The following is a 24,405-nucleotide window of genomic DNA, read 5'->3' on the forward strand; positions in this document are numbered from 1 at the left end:
ATCTCCCATGATTAACACATTCTGTACAGTAGATAATCTCTGTGATAAACAAGGAGATTTCTTCGAGGTTCAAAACCACTGTGGGAGTGGCCTGGAATTACCTCTGGCTATGAGTGGGAAAATTGAGGCTCAGAAAGAGAGACCAGTACGGGTCTCTGTCACCTCACCCATGTGTCCTGTCTAACGTCTTGCCTCTAAGCAGAGCTCTAAATAATCTCAAACAGGTGAAGATTTTCTCCTTACTGCCACCCACCTCCCAGAGCCTCATAATGCTTGATCTCTGTAGCACTGAAGTTTGGGATTCTAAATTCCCAAGTGTTCCATAGTGGGGAAGGCCAGAAGTGTGCTAGGCTGGGAAGTGTGACCTTGGGCTGGTACTTAATCTTGGAGCCTCAATTTTCTCATTTATAAAATGGGGGTCAAATACGTGCCTTGCAAGAAGTGCCTTGTCCAGCGCCCTGGGTAGAATAGCACTTATTAGTAGGACTTGGCGTCAGCTTTTGGTAGTGAACATGAGTAGGCAGAGGGACTTCAGAATATAAGCCCATTCCATTCCTCTGTCCGAGACAGCTGAAAAGGTGCAGGTGGCTTGGCCTAATGAGCTTTGTTTTGAAGGAGCACAGGGAATAAAGGGCCCTCAATTCACCACTGAGCAGCTCATCTCCTCACACCAATCCGGATTTCTGCCCAGCACCAAAATCACCTCTCGCAGGAGCCCTCTCCTCTCCAGTAGGTGCCTCTTTTCCCTTCCAATTTACATGAGCTGTGTCTGCTAGTGCAAGGTCTGTCCTAGTTAGTTTTTGTTTTTATTTTCCCCAGGTTTTTATTTGTTTGTTCGATTGTTTCCAATCGGCCTCTCCTGTTCTATGCTGAGAGAAACAGAAGCCTACAGGCGTACAGAGATCGTAGTTCAGATCACTTCTAACTTTCCCATGACTCGGTGCCGGTCTATTCCCAGGGAGAAAAGCAATCAGAATTCAGTGTTTAGTTTAGATAATCCTGCAGGATTAAGGGCTGAGAAGGAAGAGGTGTAAATGGGAAGGCCCTCTGTACAGTGAATCCCTTTATCACAGGCGTTCTGGGCCGGATTGACTTTTCCTGGTGCTCTGCAAGCCCTTTGCAGAGGGAGACACAGCCGTGCAAATGCCGTGTGTCGCAGCCAACGCCCTCACCTGCACACAGGTGTGCAGCATTGGGGAGGAAGGAGGCCTAGCGTCTAGCCCTTCTTCTGCCATTGATATCTTGTGCAAGTCCTTTAGATCATCGCTCCTGAACTTGCTCAATTATCAAAACCACCTTGGGCCTTTCTTTTAAAGTGCAGACTCTCAGAAGTCTTCCACAGAACCACTGACCTGAAGGGTTAAATCATATATAATCTTAAGGAGTTCACGAACCACAGGTTAACAGCCCTGGCTTTAGACCTTTGTCTACTCCTCCGCAAAATGAAGGGAGGCGACCACACACCTTCCTAAGCAGCATCATGTGGCCAGCGTTCTAGCTCTGAAGATGCATGCCTCTGTGCCCAGACACACAAGCACCCAGGAGCAGCAGAATCTAGTTCCCTTCGTACTCTGGGATACGGTCTTACTTGGCTTTGGCTGAGCTTCCGATGGCAAAGGAGTGGGTTTTAAGTACCTACAAAGCCTGTCCTTTGTGGGTGTCAGTGCCTCAAGTTCCTGACATGAATGCCCTCAGCCCAGAAGGTGGGTGGTGGTGGCCAGTGGACACCTGTAGGGGAGCATGCTATTTAGGAACGACCACTGCCTGCCCTGAGAATCAGCTTAAACTTCAAGTGATTAAATAAGTACCACCTTCTGGAAGCCAGAAATATGGTGGCAACAAATAGAATCAGTTTCCTGGCTCCCAAAGATAAGGAAAAAAGGACAGAGTGAATGGTCGCGAAGGTCCCTTCAGGTACCTCTCCTCTCTGCTCCTCCATCCTCCTCCCACAGGGGCTGCTTTGGCAGTCTGAACATCTCCCAGGTCAGCCCATTTAGCCCACCAGGCACTCCAAAATGCTGCTGGAGGCAGACCCCTGCTTAACCCAAGGAAGTTTTTCTTTTTATTCTTTTTTTTTTATTTTTTGAGATGGAGTCTCGCTTTGTCTCCAGGCTGGAGTGCGGTGGCGTGACCTCGACTCACTGCAACCTCTGCCTTCCGGGTTCAAGCGATTCTCCTGCCTCAGCCTCCCGAGTAGCTGGGACTACAGGCGTGTGCCACCATGCCCAGCTAATTTTTTGTATTTTTAGTAGAGACGGGGTTTCACCATGTTGACCAGGATGGTCTCAATCTCCTCACCTCGTGATCCACCGGCCTCAGCCTCCCAAAGTGCTGGGATTACAGGCGCGAGCCACCGTGCCTGGCCCCAAGGAAGCTTTTCAACAGTCCAGCTGCCTGATGGCATTCTGAAGCCTTCTGAAGCAATCTCATAAGGTCCTTGTTCTTATCTTGGAGAAGTGAGTGTCCTCTCTATCCCTCAGAGGTTGAAGCAGAGACTGGATGCCCATTCTAGACTTACCAAGACATGAAGACTGCATTAGGGCAATGGCAAAGTGAAGCTAGCTGCAACTAGCTTCAACCAGCTGCTCAGGACAACACCATGTCTTCAACACCTCCTGCCTCCCTCTCTGTGCCCTATACTTCCTGTACCCCCCACACACCATAGGACAGTATGACCCTCTGTCTTCTCACATTAATTCTGTGGAGTCAAGGAGACTCGGGCTGAAGGGACTTTAAACCTGTCTAGTTGAACCCTGCCATCCGAAGCTACAGCTCTGTCACAGCATCCTCATCCCCATTAGGAGAGTGGCCCTCTCTGCTGGACCACCTGCAATGACTGGAAACTCATTCCCTCCAAAGATACCAAATCTGTCTTTGTATAAACCTGCTGTCAAGTGTTCCCTGATGCAGAATCTCAAACGATCTTAGGAACTTAAAGTCTTCCTGGTCTTCCCAAACCAATTAAATTGTTTGACTTTGGGTAAGTTTCTTAACCTAAGCCTCAATTTTCTCTCCTGTAAAGTGGAAATAACAACAATAATACCCATCTCAAAGTCTGTTGTGAGGATCACAGGAAACATTAAACACACAGTACTTGGCACACAGCAAGCCCTCAAGAAATGTTAGTGGCTAATATTTTGTGTTTTGAGGAACAGATAACTTCCTTCACACCTAAGGCATTCCTGGTATGTTCATTTTCGGGACTCAAACTGTCCTGAGAAAGGGTGTTCCCCAAGAGCTCTGGAGACACAGGCAGGGCTTTTGTGTAAGAGGTGGTACATTACACACAAGTGAAGCGATACCATTGCGTGGACCTATGGCCAAACGTTCTCTCCTTCTCACTCCAGAGAGCCAGACACATGGCAGAGTACAAAGTGGGGGGTGGGATGTCAGATGTAGGCTCCCATTACATGCTGCCCATTAAATCATCTCAAGTTCATTTAAGGCTGGGTCCTGCCCCAGAGTCAGAGCCTGTCAGAGCTGAGAACGTGCCTCCAAGTGCACACACTGGCTCTTTAACTTGGGCAAGAAGTTTAAACTCTGAGCTTCAGTTTCCTCATCTGTGAAGTGGGGATATCGATAATATTCACCTCATGGACTTTTCATTCTGGGATAAACCTAAATAAGGTGACTGACTCCTGCCAAACTTGGTATGAAACTAAAGGACCTCAGATACTGCCTAGTTTCAATGTGTGACCCTGTTGGCCATTAGCTATCATGAAACAAGTGTGCATGGGCTGCCATGACAAAATACCACAGGCTTGGTGGCTTAAGCAACAGGAATCCATTTCCTCACAGTTCTGGAGACTGCAAGTCTAAGGTCAAGGTGCCAATGGGGTCAGAGACTGGGGAGGGCTCTCCCCTTGGGTTGCAGATGGCTGCCTTCTTGCTGTGTCCTCACATGGCAGATGGAGAGCGAGTGAGCTCTATGGTATCTCTTCCCGTAAGAACACTAATCCTATCGGATTAGGGCCCCACACTTATGACCTCATTTAACCTTAAGTACTTCCTTAGAAGCCCCAAATATAGTCACATGGGGCTTTTGGGCTTTAACATATGAATTGCGGGGGTTGGGGGGAGTGCACAAACATTCAGTCCATAACGGCAGCCAAAAAGGATTTTTAAATGGCTATTTATTTCCCCCATTGCATGGGGAGGTGCAGGAGAGGGTTACAGAACCATAATCCCACCCCAACTCCCACCTCCAGCCTCTTCTTTCTGGTTTCACTGGCTTTGGGCTAAGGCTTCATCAGGGGAAGCCAATAAGGCAACATCTTCAGGGCACTGGAAAGTCTCCTGACCCATCACCCTAAGGAGCGGCTGTGAAAAAGAATGGACCCTAGGGAGCTGGTCCCAGCCTGGGACCGAGGGCAACCAATGACCCCTGAAGATAAGACTGGCCATGAGACAGGTCCAGACAGAAGGAGCAGGGGCCTGGCTCAGAGCCCCTGCCTCCAGCCAGGACCTCCTTGGAGACACACACACAAAAAGAATGAATCCCTGGACTTTGCCTGGCCTCAGTGCAGTCCTGCTGTTGGGGCAAGGATGGCTGTCCCCTCTGCAAGGGACAGTCTTGGAAGACCTTGTCCTGCTGACAGATGACTGTTCTGATGGTCTGGGATTTTCATTTTACTTTGCTTCCTCTAACACCACTTTGTTTATGGGGTGGATATTTCATCTCCTAGATTCATCTTGAGATCATCGTTAAAGATTCCTTCTCTGCTCACTGAGATGTCCCTGCTAATCATAAAAATCTACGTAGTAATTTCAGATTAATTAAAGCTGTAAATTGGGGAAGTTAGTGACTGTAACTCATATTTCTCACTTCTCTGCACCATCTCAAAATCATATTATTTTACAATACTCTATTCCTCAGAGTATTTTTACCACCCAAAACCCTCCTTTTGCCAGCCGGCAGCCTTCCTTGGGCTGGGCTGTCCTCCAGGCATGGCATCCTGGCTATGGACAGTGGGAAGGAGCTGACATGTGTTCTGGAGAAAGAGTCCCTCTCTGCAACGTTAGCAACCCACACATGTATACAGCTTTATCCTTAGGGACTAGCACTGGAGAAGCAGAGTAGTTTTCTGGTTTCAAGCTCAGCTCTGCACCTTACAACCTGTGTTTCTGTGTGACTTAACCGCCCCGTGACTCAGTTTCCCCATCTGTAAAATTAGGATAATTACAGTGCCTACCTGTGAGGTCATTAGTGTTAAATGAAATGAGCTATGTAAAGCACTTGGACAAGTGTTTGCAAATGAGCAAAGCTTGATGAATGGTAGCTGTTAGGCAATGTCGGCTGAGCCCAGCACTTGGATGGGCCCTGTGGACAATACCATAAATATAGCAATGTCTCTGCTCTCTACAAGTTGACAATCTAACTGGGGAGACAGAACATACTCGAAAAGAAAGAGCACATCGAGCCCTAAGCCACATAGTACCTGTTATCAATACAATTAGAGTTGGATCACTTCAAGGTCACAAACTATATCCAGTGAGGGTTGTTCTACCTCTATGCCCATCCTAGCTCCCATATGGGCAGATTCTTGGAGAAGCAGTGCCAGTAACTCAGGCTTTGCTGCTCCTGTCTTCGCTAGAGAAAACCAAGAAAATAAAGCCTACTCCTGAATGACCCCAGAGGAGCCTCCCAGGACGGCATTCTTGAACAGGCTTTTTCCTTTATGCCTCAGGGTCATGGTTATGATTTCTGCCTCATGGGGCAGGCTGAGCTCAGCCCAGGGCAAAGCAAATGAGGTTGATGGAGGTTGTTGTGGCCCAGCTTTTTTCCACCTTCCATTCTTTTGAGGAGTTAAGATGTGAGCACCACCACTCTCAAACTCTCAAAAATGTGCTGACTGTGAGAACTCCCTGCTGCTCCCGTTTTACAGAAGAGAAAACTGAGGGGCAGAATAGCTTGCAGAAGTCCCTGAAGGGAGCCAGCTGCGTGGCTTGATAAACTAACTCAGGGGTCCATAGAGCAACTTGGCTTAGGTGAAGGTTCAGGGCAGTTTCCTCCCTCACGTTCCCTGTCTTCTGACACCAGCTGCTCCTAGAACCAGGCTTAGGAGTTGGCACCGGGGACATGTCTGGCAGTTGGTGTGAGGGACGCGTCTCCAATTCCTGACACAGATAACCCCAGGGACAACACTCATGGTGTGCTGAAACTTCTTTACTCAAATATCTGCAATTCCAGGCTCAAGAAAGAAGATTCAATTCTGCCGGTCCTTTTTTTTCCTCCAATTTTGTCCTGACCACCTTAATCACTGCATCTCTGGATTGTTTAATTCCACAATGAAGCCACTTCTCCTTACAACTGGCCTATCATCAGCTAGGATTAAGATTCATTTCAAATAAGAGGGTTTTCCCCCCATTCCCCACTTCTTTTATTCCTAAACTGAATTTGCATTACAAAAAAATTAAACAAAAGCAGCTTTTTGAATCTCCACTTATTACTCCCATTACATTTGTTAACATCATTATCCTCAGCTGAAGATGGCAACTATTATCAAATGTTGCAGTGCGTTTGTGGACCTCTTGCTATATTCGTTTAGAAAATTGCTTTAATGCATATGCTTTTAGAGGTTTAAAATCTACCATGGCATTATGAGCTATATAATGCCGTACATTTTTAAATCTAACAGTGCATTTATTTTATTTTTTTTAAACACGTTGCACTGAAATAAAAAATGCATGCCTGTAGTAAAGAAGAATACGAATGCAACTGGGAAAATGCAGAACTAGGCTCCTGACTGGCAGGCCCTCTCCACTCCCTTCATCCCCTGAAGAAGAAATCACTCTTCCTGAAACCCAAACCTGGAGGTCCTAAATGGGTCTAATGGGTGTGGACAGTGGGGGTTGGGGAGGGTTCTCTTTGACACAGTGATGGGGAAGGAATCTGTACCATTTGGGGCTGTAAGCAAAAGCAAGCTCCTGCTATTCATTAATACAGAAAAGCACAGTTTCAGGGGCAATTACCAAATTTCTATATTCATAGAAATCCGGTTTCCCTGGAGAGAAAGGTTAGGGCTGGAAAATTTATGAAGTGCTGGTTTCTTATGGAAATAAGAATTTTTGGTAATTACACAGGAGCTGGTCTTTATCTGCTTCTGCATTTTAATGATGGGGAATGGTATTTTGTTAGTTTCTTTTTTATTATTATTAAAGCACGCGCACGCCGACAGCATCCTCGCTGGTGTCCCAGGGATCCATTCATCCTAACAGCTGAGAATGAGCGGCTGCAACCCTGCTCAATCACGCTCAATCACTCTGCTCACCAAACCAGAGACAGCAGAGATGGAAAAGTGACGACCGTTCTCGCCAGCTCCACACTCTGGGCCTGCGGCTTTGTGTCTTCCGCTCCTCCTTGGGTACCTTATGTCTTCCCCCCGCCTCTCTCCCCACCCTGTGACTGACTCCCTTTCTGGGGCTGAGTGAGTGTGCTCATTCCTCAGGAAGCCATTTTTAGGGAAAGAGATTGAGGTATGAAAGATTCTGCTGTTTTCTCCTTCCCAACTCCCCTTTTGCAGCAACCCGTAACCCCCCAACACCCAGGACCTATAAAAACATGAATAATTGTCACTAGAGTCAGAGTCACACAAAAGGCTCCCTTCCTCAGTTTCCCCACGGCTCTTTCTCCTCCATTCCCAATGCCGTTTTTTGGGAGACTCTGTCTCCCAGGCTAGAATGTAACGGCATGACCTCGGCTCACTGCGACCTCCACCTTCTGGGTTCAAGCATTTCTCCTGCCTTCAAGCAATTCTCCTGCCTCAGCCTCCCAAGTAGCTGGAATTACAGGCGCACGCCACCACACCCAGCTAATTTTTGTATTTTCAGTAGAGACAAGGTTTCATCATGTTGGCCAGGCTGGTCTTGAATGCTTGACCTCAGGTAATCCACCCGCCTTGACCTCCCAAGGTGCTAGGATTACAGGCATGAGCCACCACGTCCGGCCACCAATGCCCTCTTGATAGCTTCCCATCCCATCCCTAATCAGTCACCATGGAACCCACGTTGGCCTTTTCCCTACCCTCTACCCCTTTCCAAAGCCTTACTCTGTGGAATGACCACAATTTCCCAGGGAGGCCTGCAAAATGACACTCACCGTCCCCCTCCCAGAGCCATTTGAGCTGATTTATAATGGTTATAAAAGAGGTCAGAGCTTGACTGAGCTTAATAGATTCATTAATTATACCAAACAAAACAAACATAATGAACATAAAAATTTATGACCTCCGTCACCAGTTCAGATGTGTCCCCTTGTCGGGCCTTGACAGATTCTGCGGAGTCCATCCATCTTGACACTTTGTGGGATCAGCAGCCTGTGGCTGTGTGGAGGTGGTGGTGGGTGGTGGGCAGTGGTGGTGGAATTACCCCAGCACCCCAGACACTACTACTGAGGGAAGTCCCTGGAACCACCTGCCAGCCACTCATCTTTGCACCTGTCTCTCCAGCAGTCCACAGAGCAGCACGGCACTGGTTAGCACCATGGTTAGAGCACTGTGGTTAAAGCAGAAACCCCGGGGCCTGACTACCTGGTCCAAATACTGGCTTTGTGTGTGGCACTGGGCAAATTAGTCAATCTTCCTGAGTCCGCGTTTCTGCATCTGTGCAATGGGGATAATAATTAGTTAATCCTAATCCTAGGGTTGTTGTCAAGATTAACTGAGTTAATGCATCTAAGTTGCTTAGACTAGTACCTGGGGCATAGTAAGTGTGCTGTTACCTGTGTTTATTTTGGCCTTACTGTTATTATGGTTTGGATGAAAACAAGAGACTATCTATAGCTTCAGTATTTCTTGGGGAACTTTTCTTTGTCCCTTTTCTGAAAGACAGGGAAATCTGCCCTAAAGGAACCCATCACCAAATATTTATTAGAGCCCTCTAAGTGCCTAACTCTTAATCAGGGGCTGAAAGAGCAGCTCAGCATCTGCAGGTGGTGCCTGCTCAGAAATGATTTAAAGCAGCAACAAGAGCCTAGAAGGAATTGAAGGGCTCCAGAGGTCATCGAGTTCAACACATCCCATCTTGCCATTACCCACATGAAGAAAAGAAGAACAAGAAAGTTTCCGCTGGCTGGTGCAGTGACTCACAGCCTATAATCCCAGCACTTTGGGAGGCCGAGGCAGGTGATACACCTGAGGTCAGGAGGTCGGGAGCAGCCTGGCCAACATGGTGAAACCCCATCTCTACTGAAAATACAAAAATTAGCTGGGCGTGGTGGTGGACACCTATAATCCCAGGTACTCGGGAGGCTAGGCTGAGGCAGGAGAATTGCTTGAACCTGGGAGGTGGAGGTCGCAGTGAACCGAGATCACGCCATTGCACTCCAGTATTGGAGACAAGAGTGAAACTTCATCTTGAGGAAAAAAAAAAAAAAAAAGGAAGGTGCCACACTTGCCCAAAGCCATGGAGACACACGATGACGCAGCTGGAAGGAGGCCCCAGGCCCCAGCCGTCCAAGTGTCCTTCTATTCCACCATTCTGTGCCTGACTTGGTGCCTACTCTGCCATCCACATGGGCCATCAGACCCAAACCAACCATGCCAGGAGGAAGAGGAAGTACAGTGCAGGCAAATACAAATTGAAGATGGAAACTATAACATGTAGATGGCTAAGTTTATACAATTTCGTCAGTTAAAAATAAGTCATTAAAAAAAAAGAAAATGGAAACTATAACCCACGGGCTTGGCTTCCATCACTTTTCTTCAGGGCTTTTTGGTTTCAGAAGCAGAAGCACTGCCTTCTCCCGGCCTCAGCATGCACTGCTCCCTCCTTCCCTCCTTGTTCCCTTGGCCAACACTACGCCTATCTAAAGACTCAGCCCAGGTTTCACCTCTCCTTCAGCTCTCCTTGCCTGTCCTGAGATCTTGCAGGAAAAACGGAGCCTCCTGGCTTCTCCTCGACTCCCTTTGTACCCCCAGCCGTAGCCCAGTCTCTGTATAGAAGTTAATGCACTTCAATGGGACTCTTTTTTTTGGTTTGACCATTCTCTTTTACAACAGAAAGTATATCAAATGCCTACTATGTGCCAGGAACTGTGCTCGGCACTGGGGATGTGGTGGTGAACTAGACAGCGATAGCTCTTGCCTGCATGGAATTTACAGTCTGGTGATGCCGATTTTGTCTTGTGAACGTTTGAATCCCCTGTGCCTGGCACAGGGCCTCGCAGAAACAGCCCCTCCACAAAGTGTGATGAGTACGGGACTGGGATGCCTGGAGGAGAGGCAGAGGCTGTCCGAGGGTGGGTTGGCTGGGGAAGCAGGTAAGTGAATTATTGGGCCCTCTTCACACAGCAGGGGCAGGAGTCACAGTTCTGGCTGGAGCTCACTCACAGGGCTTGTAACCATCCCAGACGAGTGCAGAACTATCCAGTCGGTGTGGTTTAACCATATATAACCCTCCTCTATCCATTATTCCGTCCTCAGATACCAATTCCTAGTTGGTCACTTGGCCCACAAGACCCTGAAAATAGATTTAAATTATTGCTTTATTTCCCACCCAGCTCAGGGTGTTGATTTACGCTGCCCAAACAATCAAGCCTTTATCTCAGTCACCCAGCAGCATTAGCAGCGATTTATCATGTTTTACTTCTGCCTGTACTAACCCAGGCTGACGCCTGTTGGTTGTGTCCTTCTCTTCTCAGGAAAATGCAGTAACAGGTAGGCACAAGCAGTAATGGTAGCAAAGGCCAGGGTTGCTTCCAACAGCCCGGAGCGAGGAGCCAAGAAGGTGCTTAACCTGGAGGCCCTTTTATTTTATGATAAAGTGAAAGGATCTGTCCCTGGATGGCCGGGGTTCTGGTCCCAGCCGTGTTGTTAACCAGCTGAACAAGCTTGAGCAAGTTACGTTCCCTCTCTGGGTCTTGATTTCCTCATATTTGACCCTTTCTGACCACTGATTCCCAGGAGGTCTGCAGGAGAGATTAAAGGCAGCTTGAAGCGGGTCACCAAACAAGAGCTTTGGGTTTTGCTCTTTAAAAGCTTAACCTGACCAACTTTACCCCCAGCGGTACTGTCCCTGAGACACACTGTAGCCATGAGCGCTGCAAAACCAGCTCACCCCATCAGAACAGGTGGGCGTGCCTAGCCAGAGAGGGGAGGGTAGTCCAGGGGAGCTCGAAGAAGTCAAAAATGCCAACCAACTCTAAGACCTCATGATTCAGCCAGAGTAAGAATCCAGATCCAGCCCCCTTCCTGTTTGTTACAACCTGAGAGCTAAGAATGGCTTTTATATGGTTGAAATGGTTGGGGGGAAAAAGAAAACACCAAAAGGAGATTATTTCATGACACATTAAAATTACATGAAATTCAAATTTCGGTGCCCATAAATAGAGTGTTTTTGGAACACAGCCATGCCCGCTCACCCATGTATTGTCCACAGCTGCTTGTGCGCTGCCACGGCAGAGCTGAGGTGGTTGCCACAGAGACCTTGTGGCTTGCACGGCCTGAAATATTTACTCTCTGGTCTCTTACAGAAAGTCTGGCGACCCTTAGGCTAGATGGTTGGTGTTGCCAGAAATTCCCATCCCAGATGCACCCCAGATGCACCCCAGCACCAGGCTGTGTCATCTGCTTTCTGTTTTGTTTGGGAGGGCGCAGGCCTTTCTAGAGACTTCTAGGGGGAAGAAAGATCTGAGGTTTTCATCAGCTATAGAAACCACCCTGGGACAAAGCCAAAGAGGCAGAATCCAGTGCCACGCCGAAGATGGTCGATCAGGCTGCCTCCGGTCACTTGGTAGGGCCCGAGAGCGGCCAAGGACACCGCCTGGGGCTCCTGTGCCCACCCTACCGGTCCCCTCCCTGCACCTGCACTGCCCTGCCCCCCTCAAGTATTCCATCCTACCCACCCTCGAAGGCCACCTCCTTCATGGAGCCTCACCTCTCCCCGCCCCTGCCTCAAAGGGTGCCCACTCCCCTTGACGCTCCCTCAACTCTTCATCAGAACTCCTCCTGTATCACTCATCATTTCCTCCACCAGGGACAACAAATTGGTTTCATCTCAGGCAGGTTCCAACTGACTGGCGGTGGCTTCCTGTGTGGATAAGGATTGTGAGGCTCTTTGGGAGCTCAGAAATAAAAGACCCTGACGATCAACCAGCAGTGGCTGTACTGGGCGTGGGACAGGGTAAAGGCCCGTCCTGGGCATCCTGACTTCCTGGCGCCATGCCGTGTTCTAGGCTGGTGAACAGTAATGACGCCCTGGTGAGCTGTAAGCTTCTGGTAGGTAGTGGCCACATTCACCCCATACTCACGCTCCCACAATGCCAAGCCCAGTGCCTGGCACACAGCTGTCCTCGAGGCACATCTGGGGGGTTGCTGTAATTGATGATGCCCTGAAACCAGCCCCTTTGAAATGCCCCCTAGCAACTGGCACTAAAACACACCCCTTTGGCCCAGCGAGGCAATGCTGGGATGGGCACAAACTGCTTTACCAACCTAGTCCCAGGAGGAAATGAGGGGTGAGAAGAGGAGTGCAGGTTCCAGCTTCAGGGAGGAATCCTTGGCATTTACATAGCAAACAACACCCAGGTGAGGCGGTGTGTCAACAAGGCCCAGCTCAACAGCTCCCAAGTCTCAGCATATTTTAAATGTTTGCCACATGCCAGACATTAATATTTTAACGGCTGCACGTCCGTGGCAGGCGGAGCAGCATCCGGAACACAGCGTAAAAATTGAGTGATAATAGCCTGCCTGTATGCGAGGTCAGTGGGGCATTGCCGCGCCGGCTCCAGCCTCTCTAGAAGCCACTCACGCACCCCGCCATCCCCCACCCCCCTTCCCGAGGCTGACACAGCCTGAGGATGGCAGGGCTGTCTGCCAAAGTGCTGGGAACCGGCAGGGCTCTCCTGGCCTCAGTGACTCCAGGCAGCTCCCAGGACCCTTCATAAGCCCCCAAGTTGGGGGTGAAAGGGGTTATGGGTGATGTGTGCCGGGAACAAACTCAGTTCCAGCATAGGTGCAGTATCTTTGGCCAGGAATTCAGCAAGCTTTGGATATTTGAAATCCAGCAAGAGTATTCTGAGGGTGAGGGGGCTGTGCAGCAGTAGACAATGAAAGTTTCCTCCTTGGTAGAATTAATCAATGGAATTAGGAGATTCCTGATATCCCTTAAGACAGAAAATATGTGATTCAGGAAGGTGTATGACCAAATATCGCTCCCAGTTTTTCTTTCTAAAAATACACACACACAAGATGAATACTCAAAACCCCCCCCCCCCCCCATCATATGAGACCTTTAAAAAATCCTCTCTGGCTAGTGTGTCTTAGAAGCTACTCGTTACTGCGCACTTGGCCTCCAAACACCTCAGTGAAGCAGTGTGGAAATTACAATGATGATTACTTGTTAATAACAACTAGTGTTTAACGAGCACATAACCATGTTCAGTTGGGGTCAGCAAACTTTTTCTGCAAAGGACCAGGCAGCAAATGTTTTTGGCTTTGTGGGCCATCCTCAACTCTGCTGCTGTGGCTAGAAAGCAGCACAGACAAAACTTAAAGGGAAGAGAGAAGCTGTGTTCAAATCCAAGTTTGCAAAAAGAGGCCATGGGCCTGATTTGGCCCATGGGCTATAGTTTGTCAGTTCTGTTCTAGGCGGTGTGCTAAGTGTTTTAGTGCATAATCTCCTTGAATCCTCATAGTAACCTAGGGGGAGGGTGCTGTTATATATTCATTTTTAGAAATAAAGAAACTGGCCAGGCACAGTGGCTCATGCCTGTAATACCAGCACTTTGGGAGGCTGAGACAGGCGGATCGCTGGAGGTCAGGAGTTCGAGATCAGCCTGGCCAGCATGGTGAAACCCCATCTCTGCTAAAAATCCAAAAAATAAAACTAAAAAATAAAATATAAGCCGGAGGTGATGGTGCAAGCCTACTCAGGAGGCTGAGGCAGGAGAATCACTTGAACCCGGGCGGCGAAGGTGGCAGTGAGCCGAGATTGCGCCACTGTACTCCAGCCTGGACAACAGAGCAAGACTCTGTCAAAGGAAGGAAAGGAAGGAAAGAAAGCAAGCTCAGAGTCAGGGTTAGGTACGTTGACCAAGATCACAAAGTTAATATGCAGTCCAGTTGCAATTCAAACACTTAACTCTAATTCTCTAGTTAAGAGTTTGTAGATGAGATTTATGGAGTCAGGTACTGTTACTGGGGATCAGGTACTGTTGTCTTTACAACTCAATTATTATACCCATTTTATAGATGACAAAACTAAGTCCAGATAGGTGAACTGACTGGCCCAAGGGTACACAGCTCAAAAGTGGCAGAGCAGAAGTCTGAACCTGAGTGGTCTCTAATTCCACAATCTCGTGTCTTAACTGCTTAACGCTCAGGACTTTCTTTGGAGGTAGGTCACTGGGCAGAAGGTCCAGGCGGGCAGAGCTCTGCCAAATCATTCCTTCATCACTGGAAAAATATGAGATCCAATCCCTACTCTGACTGTGCCCACCTGTCCCCACAATAGGTCACAGGAAAAAGAGCTGACTGTGCTTTGTGGCCCCCTAACCCTGAACATATGTGGGGTTTCAAAGGCAAAAGGACTTGAAATCTGGACATGAAAGCCCCAGCCAGCTGCCCTGATCAAGTCTCAATCAATTAGTCCCTCCCGGCCCAGGCACTGGATCTCTCCGTGGAAGCTGGAAGGACAGAACCCCCACCCTGTGCCGAGTCAGCACTGGCATGCCCAGAATAGGAGCACTCAGCCCAGCGCCCCCCGCCCGCACAGCCCACTCATAATGACACCCAGGCAGCCAGGTATGGAGCAGATAGCAATTTTCCTTTTTACTTATTGGTGCAAGGCAAGTCAGAGAGCCTGACAGGGCCCCAAACAAGCTGTCAGGAACTTCTAATTAAGGCTGAATGGCATAAAGAGTGCACACGCCCTCCCAGCCTCAGAATTAGCAGGACAAAGTACCGAGATGGAGTCAGACAGGCTGAAAGAGAAAAGCCTGAAGTGGGGCTGGGAGGGGAGGGAGCCGAGGGCTGAATCATGAGAGGCGAGCCCCAGCCTCCCGGCCTTTGGAGCTGGCTCCAAGAGCTTGTCCCCTCTCCCAGGGCTCCAAGAGAACACGCGAATGAAGGGGGTAAAAACTGAACCACATCCCTTGCACTTGCAAACTCCATGCTTCCTCCTCCTTCTCACTTCCCAAAGAATTTGCTGAGTCTCAGAGAGGTACTGGGACGGTGTCTAAGTCTTGGACTTGAGTCAGCCAGACCTGGATTCAAACTCTGGCTCTCTTGCCATTTGAATTCCAGTTTCCTCATCTGTAAAATGGTGCACAGCAATAGTGGTGCTTGGCTTGAGCAGGGTGTGTGAGGATTAAATGAGAGAATTCCTGCAAAGTGCTTAGCACAGTACCTGACACATAATAAGTGCTTAATAAATGGCAGCTTTTATGGTTTTCATTACCATTACTAGTTAACCATCATTAACCTGAGGTTACGCTGAGTCCTACATGAGGGACAGGCACAGACTTTGTCCTCTAAGAAGTGTCCTGAGGAAACATTTACTGGCCCTCTCATAAGCAATCTTGTTACATTTTCATCCTCAACGTTTGTCCAAGGCAGATGTGGCAATCCCCATTGTACAGATGAGAAAACCAAGATGCGGAGAGGTGAACTGACTTGCTCAGAACCTCATACTTAACAAGTGGCAGATTCCGGATTCAGATGCTGAAGTTAATCATCATAATCACAATAACAGCTACCATGTTCTGCACACTTGGACTGCACCAAGCACTATGCTAAACAAGTCATGTGCTATTTCCTCCAGTTACTGGCCCAGTTTTAAACAGCCTGGATAGCTAGAAAGAACTTCTTCTCAACTGAACCAAAATGTGCTACAATGTCTGCCCACGTGTCCTGAGTCTTCCTTTCGGAGATCCGTAGTTTAAGTCCAACCCTGTTCATATGTCACTCTCCAGGTGCCAAGGGTAATAGTCACCCCCTCCCCCAACCTGGAATTACTCTGGGTATTCCAACCATCCCTCAACAGCTGACATATTAGTTAGTTATTACAGTCAGGGGTTCCTGACCTCACCCTCCTGGCCCTGTTCTTTGGCCTGGGCCTGCTCCATTTGTCCATATATTTTCTGACTTGAGTATCTAAACCTGTGTTCCTAAATTGTTTAAAACTCGTCATGTTCCTCTTATATGTATATATAAATATATGTAATATATAAATATGTAAACATATATTTAAATATATGTAATATATAAATATATAAGCATATATTTATATATAAAAATGTTTATATAAAATATATCATATATCATATATAAATATATATCATATATAAATACATCATATAGAAAATATATAAATATATGATATATATGATATGTACATATATATATATTTTTTTTTTTTTTGAGACAGAGTCTCGCTGTCGCCCAGGCTGGAGTGCAGTGGCGCGATCTCGGCTCACTGAAGGCTCCGTATATTACATATTTTTTAAACTCACACTAATCATGATGTTTAAAATGTAAGTCATTTGTTCTTTACCAAGTAATTTCCAAAGAAAATTTTGTTTTGATCTTGAAAAGGCCACTGTTTTTGGTTTGGTATTGTTTTTGCGGTATTCTCAGGGTGACCATTAATTCTCCTTGCAAGTGGAGAATAGCACAATGGGTTACTTTCAACATCAGCTTCTTCTCTGCTTTGTAATTCGTGACATCCTTCCTCCTAGATTCTGCTAACCAGCCCCAGCTCCTGGGAAGGATCATGGCTCTACAGGAAAAACTTGAGGGTGGAAGCCAGAAGGCTTATGTCCAGGGCTCCAGCTGAAATGTATTTCTCTAAGTCAGGCACAGAAAGATAAATACCACATGCTCTCACTCATATGGGGGAGCTAAAAAAAAAAAAAAAAAGTTGAGCTCACAGAAGTAGAGAGTGAAACTGTGGTTATTAGAGGCTGGGAAAGATAAGGGGGAGGGGAGCCAGGGAGAGGTTGATTAACAGATCCAAAGTTACTGCTAGATAGGAGGAAAGAGTTCTAGTGCGCTAAAGCTCTGTAAGGTGAATATATTTAACAGCAATTTATTGTATGTTTTATAGAAGCTAGAAGAGAGGATTCTGAATGTTCCCAACACAAAGAAATGATAAATGTTTGAGGTGATGGATATGCTAATTACCCTGATTTGATCATTACACATTGTTACAGGTATCACAATGTCACTCTGTATCTCATAAACATATACAATTGTATGGCAACTAAAAAGAAAAACGAAACAATAAATAAACAGATAGAAGCATGGAGCCTGGAGTTCAGGCTGTGGACTGGCCCGCCTTGCCACCCTGTGGATTCAGGCTGAGGTGTAGACAACCAAACTCCTCTGGGTGTTTCAGATATGTTGCTGACAAATCTCATCCCCCATCCTGTCTCAATGCCTTCTGATTCTAGAAACAGTAGTTCCCACATATTCCTATTCAGTTTCATCTCATGTCCTACCCATAACTCCAGTCTATTGAAATAGCTTTGTATCATGTTTATTTCATAGCAAGGGGTTACGAGTATAGGTTCTGGAGCCAGATGGCCTGAGGTTGAATCTTAGTTCTGCAACTGGTTATCTCAGTTTCCTCATCTGTAAGATGAGAATAACAATGTGAAGTACCTCATTGGGCTGCTACAAAAATTAAATGCCAACACGTGATGTGTTTAAGAAAAGTGCCAAGCATGTGGTAAGTGCTGTAGTATGTTAGCTGTTAGCTATTTTTTAAAAAGTATTACTACTATACTGGTATTTATTACCCCTTGTAGCTTTAGGTCATTCACAGATTTTATTAGTATATCCTCTATATCTGCACCAAAGTCACTGATAACACATTTTGGAAAAAATAGGGGATCCCCATATTTCCAGATATGTTCTTCCAGTTTTGATCTCGGTCCATTAGGCATTCATTCCCTTGACCTGTTCCAAATACTCCTTATTGGATACCATCCAGGTTACAAATATCCAGCTTGTGTACAAGGATTGCCATGAGAGATTACAACAAATGCCGTGCTAAAATCCTCCTCCTATATCCAGAACATTATTTTAACCTTCCAGTATTTTACAAAAAAAGAGAGGTTTGCTCATCTGGCATGACTAGTTTACAGTGAACCCACCCTGATTTCTGGTGATTGCCCCTTACTTCCCTTTGTGTTCAAAATGACCCATTCCGCGGCTGTTTTAGAAGCCTGCCCGGGGTTGGCGTTGAGTTCATCTGTGGATTGACTGCAGCAGTCCCCTGTTTTTCCCCCTTGAAAAGTAAAATGACATTTGCCTTTCTCCCCACTTAGAGCCCTCTCTCCAGTTCTGTGCAGTTCCCCAGAGAGATCGCTGGTGATTTAGCAACCTCATCTGCAGCGTCTCCTCCCAACACCCTGGGAGGGAGGGAATGATGGGGCCAGAAGACACACCTATGTGGCTCAACCACGTCGTCTCCTCCCACCTCTGTACCATCTTGGGCTCAGGGCATTTGCCCAGGTTTTTATTACCTTTCCTAGACTAACTACCCTGCTCGCAGACAGAGAGGAAGGGAGCAAAAGAGAGCTTGGCTACGGCTGGTCCTTTATCTCCAATTAACATTACACTAGCTGCACTTAGAAGCAACCCTGCACTCTCTTCTTCTGGCTACAAAAGCAACTTTAAAAGCTTTGTTTAAAGGCCATCACAACATTTTTCCCCCTCCTGTCTCACCTCATCTGGAGTTTAGCCTTTCTGACCCTGGCCTTATAGAGAGCAATAAGCTGACCCCAAAGGCCTTCCAGTGTGTTGAGAATGTCAATCACTCAGGGGCAGCATGCACTTCGCTGAGGCCATAGGAGAAGTCACTGGGTCCCCTGGTCTGATTGGGTCCTCGTCCATAGGCAGCACCGCCAGGCACCACATGAGACAAGGGATGGAATTATGGACTGGAGCGGGAAAGAAGAATGAGGAAGACCCGCCAGGAAGAGGGGGCTGGGCTGTGGAAGGTGAGGGTGGGAGGTAGGAGGCACCCTGCCTGGAGCTAGCACACCAGTCTCCTGTGGTCTGTCCACTGGGATGTACAGAAGCTCCCAGATCCCCAGCCCTCTTGCTACTCTTTATTCATTAAAATGCTCAGATGCCGGCTAACTTTATTTGCTCAGTATTTATTTCACCAGCCTTGAAGCGGGAACAACAGGCAGCTTGATTGAAAGGTTGTCTGGTTGCATTGTGGCTCCTGTAAGTAATTCTACAGCCTCAGTGGAAATGGTATTTTATAACTTGCCAGAGCAGATAACCCTTAGTGAATTGGAATAGATATTCCTGCATCACCTAAGCTGTCTTCTCCTGAATGCCAGGCCTCTGAGAATCATTGCCCTTCTCCACACCCCCCTGACACTCTCTGCACTTGAGCCCTGCTCAGGAAACAAGGAGCCTGGAATATGTCAACCATCATCCACTACTCCACAAGAGGCATGGGGGAAAGGCCTAGAAGTGCAGCAGGAGGACCCCAGGTTAGACCTGAACTCATTCCAAGGGGCAAGACACTGGAAGGAAATGGGAGGGCAGAGGGAATGCATAAATTCTCTGGACACCCCCAAAGGCTAGACTGGCAGAGGTGGGCCCAGTACTAACTGGAAAAAGGAAATGGCTAAGATGCTTTCTGGAAAGCACTAAAAATAGGAGGGATTTGCTTCCCCAAGCACTTCCCTTGCCTCCCCACCAATCCTGACTGCCTCTGAGAAACTCAATCAGCAGAGCCCCTTCCCCAGGCATAGCTGGGCCGGTCTCCGTGGACGGGAGGCAAGTTGGATCTGGGCCCTCCACACCACTGTCTTCCCTGTCTGCTGCCCTTAGAGGGCAGAGGCTTGCCAGGCAGTACAGGCCTCTGTGCCTTGGGACTCCCAGAAGCTCAGAGTGCACGACTTATGTTCACCTGCCGTCCATCCCTTATCCAGAGTGACTCCATCCACAGGAGGTTTCAGAAGGCTGGTGCAGGGCAGAGGGAGCTTCAACTTCTGCCCTCCGACCCTCCTGCCCAGACTCTGATTGAGGCTCTGATCACAGCTCTGCAATCCCCCTCTCCTTACTATTATGACTAAATCAAGTTGGGTGATTTATTTCCCACTTATCTTTCCCATTTCCGCTCCCTGTCCGATCCGCACTGTTGAGCACACCAGAGTGAAAACATATCATCCGTTCCGATCAGCTGCTGCTCAGCCCAAAAGTACACCCCTCTTGCTGCCTTACTGGCAGAGAGGTCTGCAGGAGGAGGGAGGCCGGGCCTCCCAGGGCCTAGACACAGGGCTGGCCCCTGAACCCCATCTTCCAGGGGTTGGGGGAATTGTCCGGAGGCTTTGGGAGCCCCTGCAGAGGAAACAGGCCATGGTTATGCTACACAAAACAAAACAAAACAAAACAAAACAAAACAAAACAAAACAAAACAAAAAGGTAGGGAGGCAGCAGGCAGCAGGTCCCAGCAGAGGCAGCCACATTCCCCACCTGTTCCAGTTGAGCCCCTGCAGCCTCTCCAGCTGGGCCCTACCCACAGGTCCCATGCACTCCCCACCATATTGAGTGACAGAAGAAGTTCACCAGTGCCTGACATCCTCAGCCCAGGTCAGGCAGCCAGGCTGGCCATCCTCCCTGATGGATCATCCCCAGAGGGCACCGCAGCCATAGGACACCACCCACGAGAAGCAGGACGAAGTGGGAATCAAGAGTACTAGTTCTGGGCCTGAAATGCTTGGGCAGATTGCTCAGCTTCTTTGAGCCTCAGTTTCCTCATCTAGAAAAAGGGTAATAATCGCTACTTTGTAAAGATTGAATGAGGTTGTGTGTGTATCTCTGTGTGTGTGTGTGCGTGTGTGTGTGTGTGTGTGTGTGTGTATGTGACTGGATGCTTTAGGAAGTGGCATTTAAACCATTAAGCCAGATATTCTGTGTGGGGGAAGGGAGAGGAGGGACATCACCTTGGGGCAATTTGTTGTTGTTAGTATAGGAAAAAATCCCTTAGGTAACATTTATATTTATTTCATAGTATACTTTAATGTTTATATAAATATAAGGTCAGTGGGTAACTCCTGACCTAAGCAAAGGGCCCTTCAGGATGCTGTCTCTGTTTGGAAAGGCTGCCCTACCCCAGGTGTATGTGACCATGAGGGAGGTAGAGCCATGCATTTGAGAAACTCAAGAGGCTTCCGGAAGGAAGAAGACCAAGCAAGACCTCCACTCTTTCTTCGCAAGATCTAGTGTTCAAGCCATCTGCTGAGTAAGCCAGGGTGGCACTGCAGCAGATTTGAGGGTGGGAAAGGACCCCATGATCCCCAAAGAGGGGCTCAGAGTGAGAGCTGGTGACCTGCTAAACCCCCAGCATGGAGAGGTGCTTTGGTAGTGATCGCGGGAGAATGAGCTTGGATTGTGATGTGGAGGTCTCTGGGAACTGCAGGGGAGCATAAGCAGCTCTATAGGGACAGGAGACTTTAGGGTAGCAGCCAAAGCAACAGCATGACATATTGTACCCCAGGCAGCACGTAGCCTACTGGGGCCATAGCATGCTACAAATGTTGGCTCCTATGAATAATGGTGACAGCTGACACTCTTAAGTGTGTACTGTGTGCCAGATAGTACACTGTACTATCCACACCTTGTACATTCATTGACTGATTTAATTCTAGCAAAACTTTATTAAGTAGGTACTGTTCTTACCCCACATTTATAAATGAAGGATGGAGGTAGGGAGAGGTTAAATAATTTACTCAAGGTCACCAGCTGATAAGTAGAGAAGCTGGGATTTGAATCCTGGTTTGAGGTTGATGATAAAAGTTCTGCCTCTCTTCCAATAGGTCTAACCAACAAGACCATGTTAATTAGTCCCGTGAATCACTGTGGGATTAAGAGGATCCACAGATTATAGACAAACCTCAGGAAAACAGTAGGTACTGCCCAGGGGCTGACAGTGACCCCAGAATCTTCTCTCTCTCCATCCGTCTTCAGCATCCACACTTTCCACCTTCCTAAGCAAAACTTTCTCTCCAGAAAGGATGGATTCACTCACTCACCCTAAGTTGGGTGTGACTGCTGAGTATAGCATATTACCTCTCTTGATGTATTGCTTTTTAACTTGGCACAAATTCTGAGGTCAAAGGAATGAAATTCCAATCGTAAAACACCAGAGCCCAGCAATGCAAGGGACTGTATCCAGGTGAATGTCGGCAGGGATCAGGAGTCCCCACATGAATGTCTTTGAGAAGCCGACATTTTAGCAGGGAAGACAAACAGTTAAATAACCAACCACAGGAGAATACAGCTAGTGTTACAAGAAGTTATAGGCCAAGAATGGGAGCACAGGCGAGGTGAAGGGGCTGTCAGTGCTCCTGGGTGAGGGAGCTACTGGGGAGCTGTTGAGTAGAGCTTACTACCCATGATGATATCTGAGCCAAGCGTAAAAGACAAGGGGCTCAGAAGTGATCATTCTAATTGTCATCAGCTCACAGTTCTTGGGGTAATATGGGAAAGATGGAGCCAAGGGAAGTAAGAAAGATTCTTATAGATGAATTTATAGAATGTTTTAGGAGGAGGGAGCAGTGATTTGCTGTCCCTAAGAAATCCTGACATCAGAATGGTTGCTTAATACTAGCAAACTGAATCCAGAAGCATATAAAAAAGATTGTGTACTATGACCAAGTGGGATTTATCCCAGGAATGCAAAGCTGGTTTAACATCAGAAAATCCATTAATGTAATACAACACATCCATAGAATAAAGGACAAAACCCACATGATCATTCAATAGACACACAAAAAAGCATTTGACAAAATTCAACTCTCCTTCATGACAAAAACACTCAACATAATTAGGAATAGAAGGAAACTTCCTTAATCTCATAAAGGGACTCTGTGATAAACCTCTAGCTAACATCATATGTAATGATGAAAGAGTGGATACATCCTCCCTAAAATCAGGAACAAAACGAGGATGTCCATCCTCACCACACCACTTCTGTCAACATTGTACTGGAGGTTCTCACCGGGGCAATTAGGCAAGACAAAGAAATAAAAGGTATCCAGATTGAAAAGGAAGAAGTAAAACTATCTTTTCTCTATTTGTAGATGATGTAATCCTGTATATAAAAAACCCTTAGGAATTCATTAATAATTATTATAACAAATAAGTGAGTTCAGCAAGGTTTCAGAATACAATATTGATACTCAAAAATCTATTGCATTTCTATATACTAGCAATGAACAATCCAAAAGTGAAATTAAGAAATAATTCTATTTACAATAGCATCCAAAAAGAATACATTACTTAGGAATAATTTTAAGAAAAATGTGTCCAAAGAATGCTCTGAAAACCATAAAACATTATTGAAAGTAATTAAAGAAGACATAAATAAATGGAAGGATATCCCATGTTCATAGGCAAAAAGTCTTAATACTGTAAGATGGCAGTACTCCCCAAATTGGCCTACACAGTCCCTAGCAGAATTCCAGCTGGTTTCCATAAGCTGATCTTTAAAAAAGTGTGTAAAGAATTGCAATGGGCTCAGAATAGCCAAAACAATCTTGAAAAAGAAGAAAAAACTGGAGGATTTACATTTCCCAATTTTAAAACTCACTACAAAGCTACGGTAATCAAGATAGTGTGGTACTGGTGTAAGAACAGACATTTAGATTAATGGAATAGAAATGAGAGTCCATAAACCCTCACAAATAGGGTCAACTGATTTTTGACAATGGTGCCAAGACCACTCAGGAGAGGGGAAAGGACAATGTTTTCAACAAGTGGTGCTATAGCAACTGGATATCCACATGCAAAAGAACGGAGCTGGACCCACTACCTCATACCATGTACAAAAATTAACTCAATATGTATCAAAGACTTAAATGTAAAAGCTAAAAATATAAAACTGTTAGAAGAAAACATAGGGATAAATCTTCATGCCCTCAGATTAGATAATGGTTTCTTTAGATATGATACCAAAGCACAAGCAACAAAAGAAAAAAAATGGGTACATTGGATTCCATCATAATAAAATGTTTTGCACTTCGAGAAAGTGCAAAAGACACCATCAAGAAAGTGAAAAGACTATAGAAGAAAATATTTGTAGAGCATATATCTGATAAAGGACTTGTGTGTAGAATACATAAAGAATTCCTACAACTCAATAATAAAAGGACAACTCAATTTTAAAATGAAAATTATGTCTTTATATCTAAGAAAATATATGAATGGCCAATAAACACCTGAAAAGATGCTCAACAACATTAGCTACAGGAAAATACAATTAAAGCCATGAGATACCACTTCACACCCCTTGGGTGGCTGTTGTGATAGACAGGATAATGACCTTCCAAAGATGCCCAGCATCCTAATCCCCTAGAACAGGTGAATATGTTAGCTTATCTGGCAAAAGGAATGCTGCTGGTATGATTAAATCAAGGAATCTGAGATGGGGAGATTATCC

The 24,405-nt window shown here is 46.6% G+C and overlaps 1 protein-coding gene across 5 annotated transcripts in view, besides 1 other annotated feature; it reads right to left on the bottom strand.

Moving 5' to 3' along the window:
• Window positions 1–24,405, bottom strand: part of DSCAML1 (DS cell adhesion molecule like 1) — a 389,743-nt gene that overhangs the window by 277,696 nt on the left and 87,642 nt on the right. The gene's annotated exons all lie outside the window — the stretch shown is intronic.
• Window positions 18,329–18,857: an enhancer, noted in NCBI's record as "NANOG hESC enhancer chr11:117594511-117595039 (GRCh37/hg19 assembly coordinates)". NCBI's record gives its function as "activates a minimal SCP1, AML or CMV promoter by ChIP-STARR-seq in primed H9 embryonic stem cells {active_cell/tissue: H9 hESC(primed)}" and the evidence as "EXISTENCE:reporter gene assay evidence [ECO:0000049][PMID:30033119]".

Source organism: Homo sapiens, chromosome 11 (assembly GCF_000001405.40).
Source record: "Homo sapiens chromosome 11, GRCh38.p14 Primary Assembly".
In the NCBI taxonomy this organism is placed as follows: Eukaryota; Metazoa; Chordata; class Mammalia; order Primates; family Hominidae; genus Homo; species Homo sapiens.